We start from the raw sequence: 15,349 nt of genomic DNA on the forward strand, positions 1-15,349 counted from the left end.
CCTGCATGCACAGTTCACAATAGGGTTTGTGCTCCTATGAGAATCTAATGCTGTGCTGATCCGACAGGAGGTGGAGCTCAGGTGGTAATGCTCGCTCACCTACCACTCACCTCCTGCTGTGTGGCCTGGTTCCTAACAGGCTCGGGGGCTGGGGACCCCTGCTGTAAATAACCTTTCGAAGATCTGAAAATTAACTTTAGTATTTTTTTGTATTTACTCGATATTTTAAACAAACAAAAATCTAGAGAATGACATAACAAATGTATTTTCTGCGTATCCACTACTCTTTACTCAGATCCTAACATTCTCAGTTTTGAAAAGATGTAGGCTGGTCACAGTGGCTCATGCCTGTAATGTCAACACTTTAGGAGGCCAAGGAGGACAGATCACGTGAATCCAGGAGTTAGAGACCAGCCTGAGCTATAAGGCAAAACCCTGTCTCTACAAAAATTAGCCAGGTGTGGTGGCCTGCACCTGTAGTTCTAGCTACTCGGGAGCCTGAGGTGGGAGGGTCAATTGACCAGAGGCTATAGTGAGCTGTGATCCTGCCACTACACTCCAGTCTAGGTGGCAAAGCAAGACCCTGACTCAAAAAAAAAAAAAAAAAAAAAAAAAAAAAGATGTAAACATTACAGGCCCAGCTGTGGTCCCGTGTACACTTCTCCATTCCTAATCCCCTTCATGCACACTTTCCCACAGGTAATCACTATCCCACATTTGCTTTAATTATTCCCATCATGTTTTATGCTATGACTACAAATGTGTGAATCTATATTCCACTGTATGTTAATACCAACATTTTTTCATTTATTTTACCGCTGATGGGCAATTTAGGTTATTTCCAGATTTTTACTATTACAGATGCTTCTGTGAACATCCTTACTCATTTCTCCTTGTGCACATGTGCAAAATTTCTCTGGAGTACATACCTGGGAGTGGAATTACTAGAATGTGGTGCATGTACATGTTGTTGTATTTATCAGTAGTTCACTCTTATTTATTGCTGTGTATTCCATTACATAGATATACCATAATTTGTTTATCTAATCACTTATTTATAGACATTTGGGTTCTTTCTGTTTTTTTGACTATTAGAAATAAAGCAGCTATAAACATTTGTATATAAGTTTTTGTATAGGCATATGCTTTGGTTTCTCTTAGGCTCAGGGGCTGGGAACCCCCTAGGAATGGAGGAATAGCTGGGTCATATGGTAGGTTTATGTTTAACTTTTTAAGAAATTCCTGAACTGCTTTCCAAAGTGTTTGTACTATTTTATATTCCCAGTAGCAGTATGTGAAAGTTCTTGTTGCTCTACATCCTCACCAACACTTGGTATGATTAGTCATTTTTAGATATCCTGTGATGTGTGTGGTTTTTCATTGTTTTAATTGACAGTTCCCTGATGACTAATGATATTGGGTGTCATAGGCATATTTTCCATTTATATATCTTTTTTGTAAAGTTCAAATTTTTTGCCCATTTTTAAAATTGAGTTGCTTGGTTTTTATTGAGTTCTGAGAATTTTGTATGTAATTTATATACAAGTTCTTACTAGATATGTAATTTGCAAATCTTCTCTCTCAGTTTGTGGCTTGTCTTTTTATTCTCTTAGCAGTGTCTTTCAAAGAGAAGTTCTTAGTTTTGATGAAGTTTAGTTTATCAACATTTTCTTGTACTGATTTCTTGTATGGGCATTTAGGTTTTTCATGTTATATCTAAGAAATCTTTGCCTAAACCAAGATCACAAAGATTTTCTCCGGTATTTTCTTCTTTTGTTTGAGACAGAGTCTCACTCTGTTGCCCAGGCTGGAGTGCAGTAGTGCAGTCTCAGCTCACTGCAACCTCCACCTCCTGGGTTCAAGCGATTCTTGTGCTTCAGCCTCCTGAATAGCTGGTATTACAGGCATGTGCCACCATGCTCAGCTAATTTTTGTATTTTTTTAAGTAGAGACAGGGTTTCACCATGTTGGGAAGGCTGGTCTTCAATTCCTAACCTCAGGTGATCTGCCCAACTCAGCCTCCCAAAGTGCTGGTGACACAGGATTTTGCTCAGCTACTTTGCCAACCAGGGACTCACTCGGCCATGGGCCAAGGCACCCCGCTCACTTGGTCCACCTGTGCTATAGCTTCTACTGACGTTCAGCGGTTCCCGAGCTCTTGTCATGCATCTAAAAAGAAGGAGGATATGCTGACAATTTGAAGTGTAAGGATGGGTGGAGAAGAATTTTACTGAGTTATGGAACAACTCTCAGCATTAAGGGGACACGGGGTGCTCCCTCACCCCCACAGTCAGGTGGTTTTTCTCTCTCTCTCTCTGTGTCTGGGTCTGGGGCTTTTTATGGACTCAGAATGGGGAGTGTGTACAGATTGGTTTGTGAGTATGCAATAAAAGTTAAAGTGAAGACAATATTCAAAGGTGGGCGCGATAGTGTAGAAAACCAATTAGGAAAGGGTAGGTATGTAGCCTGGCATGGTGGCTCGTGCCTGTAATCCCAGCACTTTGGGATGCCAAGGCAGGTGGATCACCTGAGATCAGGAGTTTGAAACAAGCCTGACCAACATGGTGAAACCCCGTCTCTACTAAAAATACAAAAATTAGCAGGGTGTGGTGGCACACACCTGTAGTCCCAACTACTTGGTAGACTGAGGCAGAAGAATTGCTGGAACCTGGGAGGCAGAGGTTGCAGTGAGCCAAGATTGCACCATGGCACTTCTGCCTGGCTGACATAGCGAGACAGTGTCTCAAAAAAAAAAAAAAAAAAAAAAAAGAAAGGGTAGGTATGTGTAAAATAGGTGGAGGGTGGGGATCAATCAGAGGAAAGCATGCCAAATGGGAAGACAGGTTCTCAATCCAGTCCATGGATTTGCCTGGGACTTGTAGCTAGGCTTTAAAGTGTCTTCAGCTTGAAGGTCAGGTTTCACCAGGGACCCGTTCCTACACCCCTATCTGCCTAGGCATTTGTCTGCCTCTTGCTGCTATCAGTTCTCCCCTCTGAAGAGGTACATCTAACTGCCATTAGAATAGGGATGATGACTGATACTAACTGCTTCCTGCTGACAGGGGTGCGGGGTGCTGTTTTGGGAAAATGGCAGTCAGATCTCCCTCAGAGGCCTATCTAAGGGTCCCCAGTAAAAGGGAGCCATCGTCTGAGGCTCCAGTTTCATGACTGGAGTTTAATGGCCTGAAAATGAGAAGACAACCAGATTATTAGAAGGCATGTATCAAAACAAAATAAGGGGGTAAGGACAGCTCAAAAATCCTGAGGCTGCCAACATGCCCAGATAACAGGTGGCTATAGTTATGCCTGCTAAGATTTGGGTGAATGAGGCTCGGCTTTGGTCAGCTTCTTTGGTCTTATTTTCCCAAACAAAGAAACCTCTGGGTTACGGGCACCCTGTTTACTCCTATCACCTGGCAGGATTTGCAGGATAATTGCCCAGAACTAGAATATTGATCCAGATTTTTACATCACCCATCCCTTTTGTTTCTTCTGAGCTGCAGCTGATGATCACTGGTTGGTTCACAGAAATAAGCAGGGTTAGTCTAAAATGCAGACAAAAACTTAAAAACAACTAATGAGACTAGAATTTAATGAAAAGTGTATGATAAATTTTGAAACATAATTTTTCTCTCTCCAGTCCTCATTTTTGTTAAAAACAAATCATGATAGGACTGAGTCATTTGCAGAATAAACTTTAGTCTTATATTTGGCCTGGTTATTTGCATAAAGCACAGCAAGAATAATTATTTTTCACACAGGCTTTTAAAATTGGCTTTGATGGAACTCTGTTCCACAAGGAATTTCAGATAAGACCTTTTAAAGCTGAGCCCAGCCATGGGTTTGTATCCTCAAATACCTATGAGTTGGGTAAATTCCTCTCTTCTTGAGGTCCCAAGATAACATGGGGTTCCTGGGCCTATTAGAAAGTGACATTCTTTATTCACCACAGATTAGGAACTCTGTACAGGGACTGTGTAGAAGACAAAGTATGAGGCCAGTTTTCCCAAGGGGCTTTTATTGGTTCTGCAAGTCAAACTTGATTTCTTAAAGGTAAGCACACCCTTCCAGTCAAAGCCTTGGTAAAACAACCAGTTTCTCCAGTTGTGTCCTGTTGCAAAAGAAAATGGATTCTTACTGCACTGATGCAAATAACTGTATTGCTGCAAATTAAGAATACTCACAAATAGTTTCCAAGTTCTGAGGAAACCAGGCAAAAAGAAATAAATGTGCTCCAAATTTTGTTCACTGGAGTATACCTTACTCAATTGTTAAAAGCTATAGATAGCTCAACATGAAAGTTTCCTTGACTCTGAAAAACAAAACAAGGATCAGCAATGTTTTAAGCAAAAAAAGATTACTTCAGCTTTCTATTAGTTCAGTACATTCTATTAACTCTTCTTCTGCTTGATATTCATGAACATTTCAGCTCTTCATGAGTCCTGTACATTTTCCCTCTATTCCAATGTCACAATCTCCAAAGTTATCAGAAACCTGCATTTGAGAGCACCTGTCAAAGTCCCATAGCTGATTATAAACCATCTTTTGAAAAGGATCAAAATAAGACAATTGTCTGTGAATGACAAAATGTCTTTGGGTAATAACAGTCAAAGCCATGATTGACAAAGAAATTTGGTTATTTCTGAGCTTTACAATAACAACATAATAATTTTTTTTTTTTTTTTTTTTTTTTGAGACGGAGTCTCGCTCTGTCGCCCAGGCTGGAGTGCAGTGGCGGGATCTCGGCTCACTGCAAGCTCCGCCTCCCGGGTTCACACCATTCTCCTGCCTCAGCCTCCCAAGTAGCTGGGACTACAGGCGCCCGCCACTACGCCCGGCTAATTTTTTGTATTTTTAGTAGAGACGGGGTTTCACCGTTTTAGCCGGGATGGTCTCGATCTCCTGACCTCGTGATCCGCCCGCCTCGGCCTCCCAAAGTGCTGGGATTACAGGCGTGAGCCACCGCACCCGGCAACATAATAATTTTAATTACGATTGATAGCATATACTCAGACATTAGAATTTTAGAAACCTCATAGAATTTTGGAACATATGTATTTTTCATTAAAATATAACCTGAAGAAGATTAAACATTATTTTTATTTTGGCAATCCCACATAACTAAACATGTCAGTTAATCCTGTTTACCTCTCTTTTGGATGCTCCAGGAGCCCTCTGTAGTATTCAAAAGTAAGGGGTCAGAAAAGACAACCTTGAAACTGAAGTTTGATTTTGGGAAGCCTGTTAAGTACATTAGAGGTTTAAAACACTTTATATTATGAAATACAATTCCAGATTACCATAAGTCATTTATTTAGCCAAAATGATGACTCAAAAATTTTTAAAAAGGTAAAAACCTTTACTCATTAAGAGTGAAGACAGCTTTCCAAACAAACAATCCATCTCTGGTCTCTCCCACACCCTTTATTTTTTGATGAAATCTTTAGATAATTCTGTCCAATCTTAACCAGTTTGACCATGAGGTGAGATTCTTATAAACCTTTACAAATTTTTGTTAAAGAGTAGATCAGTGCCTTAAGAAAACCTTGTTCTTTTATTCTAATGTTCAATTTACAGAAAAACCATGTAATACCCTTTTGAATTTAGTCAATATGTTCACACACAGAATTTCTTTTGCAAGATTAATTTTTACAAACCTTCCACAACCTTCAACTTTATCTTATCCAACTTAAAACAATTATTTAATCCTCTAAACTAGGCAAAAATTTAAATTCCCATGCCTTCTTATAATCCTTTACTAAAAACACATTTACTTTCCTTACACACCTTGATGTAAATCTGTTTTCAGTAGTCTCAATTACATGGTATAATGGTAAACCTTAGCAATTTTTAATTTTAATGTAAAGCCTGGTAAGTTATTTTAATTATGTGCTACCAATTATACCTTAAGTTGTAGCGACTCTGGTGTGCTATTGGTAATATGGCCTTACAAAACTGAAAAGCAAGCAAGGTGAACAATTTTCAAAAGCCCAAGAAGCAGGCTGGGTGTGGTGGCTCACACCTGTAATCCCAGCACTTTGGGAGACCCAGCCAGGTGGATCACCTGAGGTCAGGAGTTCAAGACCAGCCTGGCTAACATGGTGAAAATCCGTCTCTACTAAAAAAAAAATAAAAAAATTAGTTGGTCATTATGGTGTATGCCTGTAGTCCCAGCTACTCAGGAGGGTGAGGCAGGAGAATCACTTGAACCTGGGAGGCAGAGGCAACCAAGATCATGCCACTGCACTCCATCCTGGACAACAGAGTGATACTGTTGAAAAAACAAAAAAGAGAAAAAAGCCAAAGAAGCAGTTTATAACTTTAAAGCATTTAGTAAACCTAGTATCTGACCTGCATAATTTAGACCACATGTTTACATTTTGAAGACATTTGTATTTTACCAATAATCTCTAAAACTTTTTATTTTTCAAATATTAAAATCATTTGAACTAAAAGGTATTATAGCTTTTATTTTTCCTTCAGAAAATATTTGATCTAAGTGCTTATTTTTCTCTAAGCCAATTAATTAGAGCTCTTTTTTATACAAACATCACACATATTGCACATATATAACTACACAGACAGAGGATCCAGTAGTTGTAAGATTTTTCATTGTCCAATCTCCTAATTAGATTACTGACCTCAGGATGGAGCCCTTCAAGAGCAGGGCTAGGAAAGCATGCAGTTTCTAGGGCCTAATAAATAGTTATAGCTGGAAGACAAAAACAGATTTTGAGAGGGATTTATCTGCTTTTAATTCTTTGGGTTTCATGAGGAAAACAGAGGTTTTTTTCTAAAATGGGGTCAGTGGTGCCTCTTCCATTTTTTCCAGGGAGTCCCAGGCCATCAGAAGTTATCTTAGGGCCTCTCATGCGTGCATTAAGAGAGGCAAGACAAAATGGAGAAAAGTAATTCAGTTGACTGAAAAAGAAAATCTTTTTCCAGTGAAACAAGATGCAAGAAGAGGAAAACATAGAGGCCTTTTAAATATGCCTATAGCTTGGATATCCACTTTTAATTAAGCTGACTTTTTACCATAGTGCTCTTATTTTAAAAAATCCTTTTAAATCCCTTGTTACCCAACTTTAGCCTCACCAAGTGGCCAATATTTCTGGCTTTTGAACTTTACCAAAAGTAACCTCACAGGTGAAACCAACAAGCCTTAAGTAAGGTTGTGACTTCACTGCCTGTGTACAAGGTATTTTCAAAGAGATGGTAAGCAGTTTTTACAAAATCTAGAATCTTTAAAGATAGCTCAGAGAAAGGAAGATTTAAGAAAGGAAGCTAGAAGTTGTTCATGGAGGGGAAGAGAATCAGCAAATGATAAAAGTCACACAGATATTAGCCAGAAAGTACTCATTCCCTAAGCCAGGATTGAACCTGGGCTTCCATTGTAAAATGGCAGAGACCAAAAGAAAGTCCTTCCACGTGGTTACAAGGTCAAGCTCCCAAGGACATAAAACAAGATGGAGACCTTATTCAGTTTTTTTTCCTTCAGAGACCTGTAGCAAAGTCTGTAACTGACCAGTTTGCATGGCTGGCTTGAACAGTGGGCTTATGGGGTCCTAGGTCTGTGTTCTATCCTGTCTTACTCCTTATGACAGAACTGTACAGAAAGACACACAAAGCATAGCAGATTGGCTACAGCTTAAGATTAGCCTCACAAATCCTTTTTTCCATTAATCAAAACTACAGAAGAATAAACAGTGATTTTTATCCTTCCTTTTACTGGTTTGCACAGGGAGAAAGAGGCCAGAAGTCTGACTGGTAAGAACTTTTACTCTTTTACTGGCATGTCAGGCTTCTGGGTTCCCTTCCCAGTTCAATTTTAAGCCAAGCAGTTTAAGGTTTGGGGATACTAAACTTTTCACAGATATTTTCCAGTATGTTTAAATAGTTTTGTTTAGCCCAGATTTAATAATAGTTATCTGTAGTAGGGTTTGCATGACCACTTTATTCCAATGCCACAAACAGAAGTTGATTAGCAAATTATATATATATTTGCATACATTTATTTTACATAATTTAAGGCTATTAGACCAATATTGGTTATTACAGAGCATAGATACCTTGAAAGAGGCCAAGATGGAGTGGAAATGCAGGTTGGAGCTACCAAAGGGCAAAAAACTATTCATCAACCTTTAACTACAATAAATCTTCCCTTTGGGTATTTTCATTTGTAAACACTTTGCCCTTGCAGTCATTTACATCGGCATAATTACAACACCTTTGCTTTATTTGGCATGCAGGAGAATCTTCTTAAATATTAAACCTAACCACTTTGAGTGATTTGCATCCTGCTTTTGTCATACATTTAGAGCCTTGGGATTTTTTCTCAGAATGGAGTAGGAAACAAATAGGGTCTGGATAGGGAAATTGAAAAGCTTCCTGGTATTTTTCTGTTGAAAGATTTCTTAACATGGCTTCTTGGATGTGTCTCTCTGATGTCAAACATACACACATATTCAAATAAGAGTTATACAAGCACATCTTGCACATTTTTGGCATCTATGTCTCAAGACACAGGACATTCTATCTGGTGTTCTGATCGAACCACTTTTGCATGTTACTAGACTGAAAATTATTGGAAGGTAGAGAAATCTCTTATTTGTTTTTATATTCCCAACAGCCTAGGATAGAGCCTAGAACATTAAAGAACACTAAAATTTTAATAGTGTAACTGAAAAGCAGGTTAGTTGGTCACTGCATGTAGAGTCCAATTAACAAGAGCAAGTTCTGATACAAAGAAGTGTATTTATTTCAAAACTAGCTTAGGGGAAGAGGCACAAAGCATCCTGCCTTTAAATGTGCCACTTCACCTTTGGAGCAAAAAGTGGGCATTTTTATAAGGTAGGGGAGGAAATGAGCAAGGGCAAGTGTCCCTCTGCTACTGGGCAAGTATCTGAGCTGGCACCTTCTTGGGCAGAAGTAAGTTGTAAAAGTGGCCAAGTGGGTATGCTTTCAACATGCCCTCCTAGTGGGCATGAGTTCTGAGATGACCCTGTGGAGAGTTCTGTGGGGGCATGCTTTGGTCTGCAAATAGACTGTTAACTTTCGAGGAGAGATCCTTGGGGGGAAAATATATATTAGGAAGTCCTCTGTGGGTGTTTTGTAGAAGGACCTAGAGGGACTAGGGCTCGATTGTTATTTATTTATTTATTTATTTATTGTGTGTGTGTGTATGTGAGAGAGAGAGAGAGAAAGAGAGAGAGACGAGGTCTTGCTCCGTTGCCCAGGCGGGAGTGCAGTGGCATGATCATAGCTTACTGCAGCCTCAAACTCCTGGGCTCCAGGGAGCCTCCTGCCTCAGCCTGCCAAGAAGCTGGGGGTACTGTTGTGTGCTACCATGCCCAGCTAGTTTTTAAAGTATTTTTTTTTGTACAGATGGGGTCTTGCTTTGTTGCCCAGGCTGGGCTTGAACTACTGGCTTCAAGTAATCCTCCTACCTCAGCCTCCCAAAGTGCTGGGATTATACATATGAGCCACTGTTCCTGGTCTAGTTTGCACTTTTTTTTTTTTTGAAACAGAGTCTTACTCTCTTGCCCAGGCTGGAATGCAGTGGCACAGTCTCAGCTCACTGGAAACTCCACCTCCCAGATTCAAGCGATTCTCATTACTCAGCCTCCCGAATAGCTGGGATTACAGGCACCCGCCACCACACCCAGCTAATTTTTGTATTTTTAGTAGAGATGGGGTTTCGCCCTGTTGGCCAGGCTGGTCTCGAACTCCTGACCTCAGGTGATCCACCCACCTCGGGCTCCCAAGGTGCTGGGATTACAGGTGTGAGCCAACACGCCTGGCCGTTTGCATTTTTAAGATAAAAATTTTACCATGCTGGATATATTGTAGTAGCTATGTACTTCAGTTTCTCAATTGTTAAACGAACTTAATAGAAGTACTACCTTATAGAATTTTGGGGATTAAATGAAATAGTCTTCTGAGCACAACAAATATATTATCAGCACAACAGCTAGCTCTATTGAGTCTTTATTATTATAATAGCAGTAATAGTCAGACTTGGAAGGGGTGAAAGAGAACAACAGTCCATTTTATTTTTGTGGCATATATATCATAGGTCGTAAGACCTTGGATTGTTTAGATGCCATGTTAAAACTTGACAAAACTAGAAATGTTGTGAGTGTGCAATAGCAGGTGATAACTAATCCAATCATTAATTTATTCTTGAATTTGATCAGAAGACAGACCTAACTTCATCTATTGCCAATTACTATTGTAACAAAATCTATTGGAATTTCAGTTTAGGCACTGCAGTACAACAGTGTGAATTTCAAAAGTGAGATATTTTATGTGGCTTTTTAAAGTAGGTTTTCAAACCAGTTAAAGGCTCTAAAACCCATTAAGAAGGATACTATGGGTCAGGAATAGCATTTTATGAGGACTCTTGAGAAAACGGTGCTGTGTCCCCTCCACCATGGTACAAGTGGAGGTTACTCTCACTTGTTCTCTTACTTGGTATCTCTCCTTGTTCTCTCACTTGGTATCGAGTGAGAGGGGCTTGAGAGGGACGACTTAAGAGATTTAAAGGATTCCCCCCAGTTGTGGGGAACAGAGGACCAGGGTCTGACTCTCCGAGACACCCAACAAGGAGAGAACTGTGGCTGGCTTACTGTTCCCACAGAAAGAGCTATACTGTAATGGTGTCTGTGTTGAATTTGCCTACACTCCAGCCTTTGTCAGGGCAAAGGAAATGTATTTCCTGCAGATTAGAGGTGGGCCTAGCGGAGGAGAAGGGTAGCCTGGAGTTTGACTCCTGTCCAAATAGATGCCTGAAAGGGCAGTGAGGTTCCAACGGTGAGTCTTTTGAATGACAGCCAAAAAGCCAGGAGAAGAATGAATTATCCAAGTCAATGGTGCTATGGCCAGAAGGAACTCTGAGGTGAGACTCTGAATAACCCATGAAAGTGCATCTGAGAAAAAAGAATTAGCTTCAAACATCAGCAGACAGGTGTTTTGGCAGGAGGGCTCATGTTGGAATCTCCTTGCCTTCCTTCCCCAGCCTCCATCTCCCATGCCTACCTTGGAAAGATCCGACAGCTAGGGTTGGTGTAAAGTCGTGGAAGAGAAGAAAAGCAGCTGATTTCAATCCCTTCCCAGGTTCCCTGGGGCTGGGGAAAAGATTTGATTACCTAGTGAATATTGGTTTGTTACCTAAAGTGACCATAAGCCTTTCTTTAACATTGACCAAAAGAATCAAATGGGCCTGTTGAAGTGTTCATCTAGTGTCAAGGGAAAATTTTTCCCCACTGAATAAATTTTAAGAAGGCAGTCAAGACAAGAAGCTATATTTGATTATATCCTGTTAGTGCTTATTCAATAGACACATAAATCTGTAATTTTTAATATTTGGTATAGAAGTAGGTTGAAATCCACAGTAATTCACAGAAACTTGTGCAAGGGTTTTGTTTTCTTTTCTTTTCTTTCTTTTTTTTTTTTTTTGAGACAGAATCTCACTCTGTCCCCCAGGTTGGAGTACAGTAGGATGACCTCGGCTCACTGCAGCCTCCACCTGCCAAGGTTCAAGCAATTCTTGTGCCTCAGCCTCCTGAGTAGCTGGGATTACAGGCATGAGCCAACACGGGCGGCTAATTTTTGTATTTTTAGTAGAGACGAGGTGTCTCCATGTTGGCCAGGCTGGTCTTGATCCTGACCTCAGGTGATCTGCCTGCCTTGATCTCCCAAAGTGCTGGGATTACAGGTGTGAGCCACCATGCCCGGCCAAGGTCTTTTTTCTTGAAAATATCTTCACTCATATAAGCAGTATATGCAATATAAGGATATGCTCTTGGGTTTCTTGATGTGGTCTAATATTTAGTGTTGGCCCCTTAATTATAAAAGTTGCTTTTATCTAAAAGTAGATGTTAGTTGTCAGGCAATGTTTGCTGTAAAAAATAAATAAAAAATAAAAGTAGATGTTAGGATATTTTCTTCTAGCCTGCCTAGTATTTATATTAGATTCTTTCTTTTTTTGAGAAAGCGTCTCGCTCAGCTGCCCAGGCTGGAGTGCGCAGTGGCGCGATCTCGGCTCACTGCAACCACCATCTCCCGGGTTCAAGTGATTCTCCCATCTCAGCCTCCTGAGTAGCTGGGATTACAGGCACCCACCACCACGCCTGGCTAATTTTTGTATTTTAGTAGAGGCGGAGTTTCACCATGTTGGCCAGGCTGGTCTGGAACTCCTGACCTCAGGTGATCAGCCCACCTCGGCCTCCCAAAGTGCTAGGATTACAGATGTGAGCCACCGCACCCAGCCTAGATTGTTTCTTAAACCATAGATGTCTGAACTTTTTTGAATGAAATTAAATGATTAGAGATTAGTAAAATTTTTGTATAAGATAGTAGACTAACAAATTCTTACTAGTCTGGGTGTGGTGACTCATGCCTGTAATGCCAGCAATTTGGGAGGCCAGGGTGGGCCGATCACTTAAGCCCAGGAGTTTGAGACCAGCCTGGGCAACATGGCGAAACCTTGTCTCTACAAAAGATACAAAAATTAGCTGGTGTGGTGGCACACACCTGTAGTCCCAGCTACTCAGGAGGCTTAGGTGGGAGGATGGCTTGAGCCTAGAAGGCAGAGGTTGCAGTGAGCAAACATTGCGTCACCGCACTCCAGCCTGGGTGACACAGCGAGACCCTGTCTCATTAAAAAAAGAAAATTTAACCTGTCTCAAGCTCTCCATACTGTAAGGCTCTGCATGTCTTGATTGGATTGTGCTAATATATTTGGCCAATCAGCTCCTTCCTACTGTCTACTTTTGAATCCCTGTCACCACCATCTAAGTCAAGATGACAGTGTTTACACAGTCTCTTCATTGTGTTTTAAGATTATAGTCTTCTTTCTGGTGAGGGAAGAAAGAAAATAGAAATATGGCTTACTGATTGGGCCATGGCTTACGCCTGCAATCCCAGCATTTTAGAGGCCAAGGTGGGAGGATTGCTGGAAGCCAGGAGTTCAAGACCAGCTTGAGTAGCAAAGTGAGACCCTGTCTGTACAAAAGAAACACACACAAAAGAAATATGACTGACTAAAATACATATAATTTTCATAATACTTTAAAATGTAAGAAGGCAAAAAATTTCTGGGCTCAAGGTGGGTGATCGCTTGAACCTAGGAGTTCAAGACCAGCCTGGGCAACCTGGCAAAACCTTGTTTCTACAAAAAGTACAAAAATTAGCCAGGCATGGTGGTGCACACCTGTGGTTCTAGCTACTTGGAAGATTGAGGTGGGAAATTTGCTTGAGCCTGGGCTGTCGAGATCACAGTGAGCTGAGATTGCACCACTGCACTCCAGCCTGGGCAGCGGAGTGAGACCTTTTCTCAAAAAAAAAAAAAAAAAAAGGCAAAAAATTAAATTATTAGTATGGTAAAGTTTCGTTTGGACTTAATATGAAACTCATTTCTAGAAATGATGATCATTTGCATAGGGCTTAACTTCCTTTGCTAAGAAAATAGAGTAGTATACTAGGAGACTTCCAGAGCTGCATAGAGCTTCAGGGTCATCTACCAAGACAGACAATTTGTTGTCATCATCAGTGTTAAACTCTAAATTATTAAGTGCTTATGTGCCAGATACTGAAGTTTATATACACTTTCTCTAATCTTTAATAATTCTAGAAAGGTATGTGTTTGATCCATTTTCAAGATAAGAAAACTCATTCAGAGGGGAAGTAACCTGACCAAGAATACGTTGTAGTTGTAGAGCTGGGAATATGACTCATGTCTGTTTTTTCCATAGCCCATTTTCACTTAGGTTCCATTAGTTTATTATATATTTTAGAAGGACTTACAGACTTGATTTCCTCAGCGAAGTCAGATTACTCATTTCTTTGGCACAGAATTATGATTATTTGTATTTAATATTTCTTTCCTGTTGGTTTTCATTTTTGAGTTTTTATGGAATCTGACTTCTGATTCTCAATTTTTTTATTGTGAAATATAACATACCTTCAGAAAAAAAGATTAAACATATCTATGGTTTTATAAATGATTATAAAATAAATACCCAGTAACTATTATCCAGGTCAGCAAATATTCTACTAGTGTATGAGTCAATTTCCATGGCAAAAGAACTAAGCTTAGGCACTATACTCAAAAAAACTAAAAATAAAATTTTTCTAAATGTGTATTATATCAATGGAATAAATACAAATATAACTTACCATGTCATAATTCCCCCCACGCTTTCCCTTCTTTTACAGCATGGGTAGGTTCTCTCTCCATGGGGATGATTTTCTTTTGCTGCCCAATAGTCAGCGTCTTCACAGACCTATTTGGTTGTCGGAAAACAGCTGTCGTGGGTGCTGCTGTTGGATTTGTTGGGCTCATGTCCAGTTCTTTTGTAAGGTAAGGACTTGGTTTTTTCATGTTGCTTTTTAAAAACTGTTAGATACCTTAAAGTTTTACTTTCAGAAACTATGCTATTTACAAGCAAAGATCCTCCTTTTCATTTTTTAAAACTTTAAGCAATATGACTTATAAAACAAACTGTTATCCATAGCAGCAAATCAGAGCTTGAGAATTTGAATGCTTTTTTTTCTTGTAATGCCTAAGACTTAGACATCAATCAGGATATATGTGTTTCTTGGTGCATGGAAAAATGTTTCTCCTTATCTTTTTCTTCTATTCACATAAAAATCCTAATGGCACTCAAGTTATAACAATGATTTATCTAAAACAGCAGCCTTAGTTTAGGGTCAGTTCAGTCTGAGGCCCACGGGTTACAATAAGTGGTGTTTTAAAGTAGCTGTTCATAGGCTTGATATGAAATATTTTTGTTAATGAGACCAAAACTTTGCCATTTATTCCAACCCAGGTAGAGAATTCCTGTCTGTTCTTTAAAAAAAGAACATGCTAAAATTTTAAAATATCATGGCAAAATGAAGTGGTCCAATGTACCTTAAAATAAAACTTAATGTCAATGTACTTCTCCTGTATCTATTAGAATAAGGATCCCCAACCCCTGTGCCACAGACTGGTACGGGTCCATGGCCTGTTAGGAATTGGGCTGCACAGCAGGAGGTGAGCTGTGGGTGAGTAAGCAAAGCTTCCTCTATATTTATAGCTGCTCCCCATTACTTGCATTACCACCTGAGCTCCACCTCCTGTCAGATCAGTGGCAGCATTAGATTCTTCTAGGAGTGCAAACCCTATTGTGAACTGTACATATGAGGGATCTAGGTTGCACTCCCCTTATGAGAATCTAAATGCCTGATGATCTGTCACTTTCTCCCGTCACACCCAGATGTGACTGTCTAGTTTCAGGAAAACAAGCCCAGGATTCCCACTGATTCTACATTATGATGAGTTGTATAATTATTTCATTATATATTA

At 39.9% G+C, this 15,349-nt stretch overlaps 1 protein-coding gene across 4 annotated transcripts in view; it reads left to right on the plus strand.

Moving 5' to 3' along the window:
• SLC16A10 (solute carrier family 16 member 10) overlaps positions 1 to 15,349 on the plus strand; it is a 143,692-nt gene that overhangs the window by 70,975 nt on the left and 57,368 nt on the right. For all 4 annotated transcript variants that reach the window (NM_018593.5, XM_047418167.1, XM_011535422.3 and 1 more), the window contains exon 2: positions 14,218 to 14,362. In NM_018593.5, the coding sequence (NP_061063.2) occupies positions 14,218 to 14,362 (145 nt within the window). The remainder of the gene's footprint in view (positions 1 to 14,217; positions 14,363 to 15,349) is intronic.

The sequence above is a fragment of the Homo sapiens genome, chromosome 6, assembly GCF_000001405.40.
Source record: "Homo sapiens chromosome 6, GRCh38.p14 Primary Assembly".
NCBI lineage: Eukaryota > Metazoa > Chordata > Mammalia > Primates > Hominidae > Homo > Homo sapiens.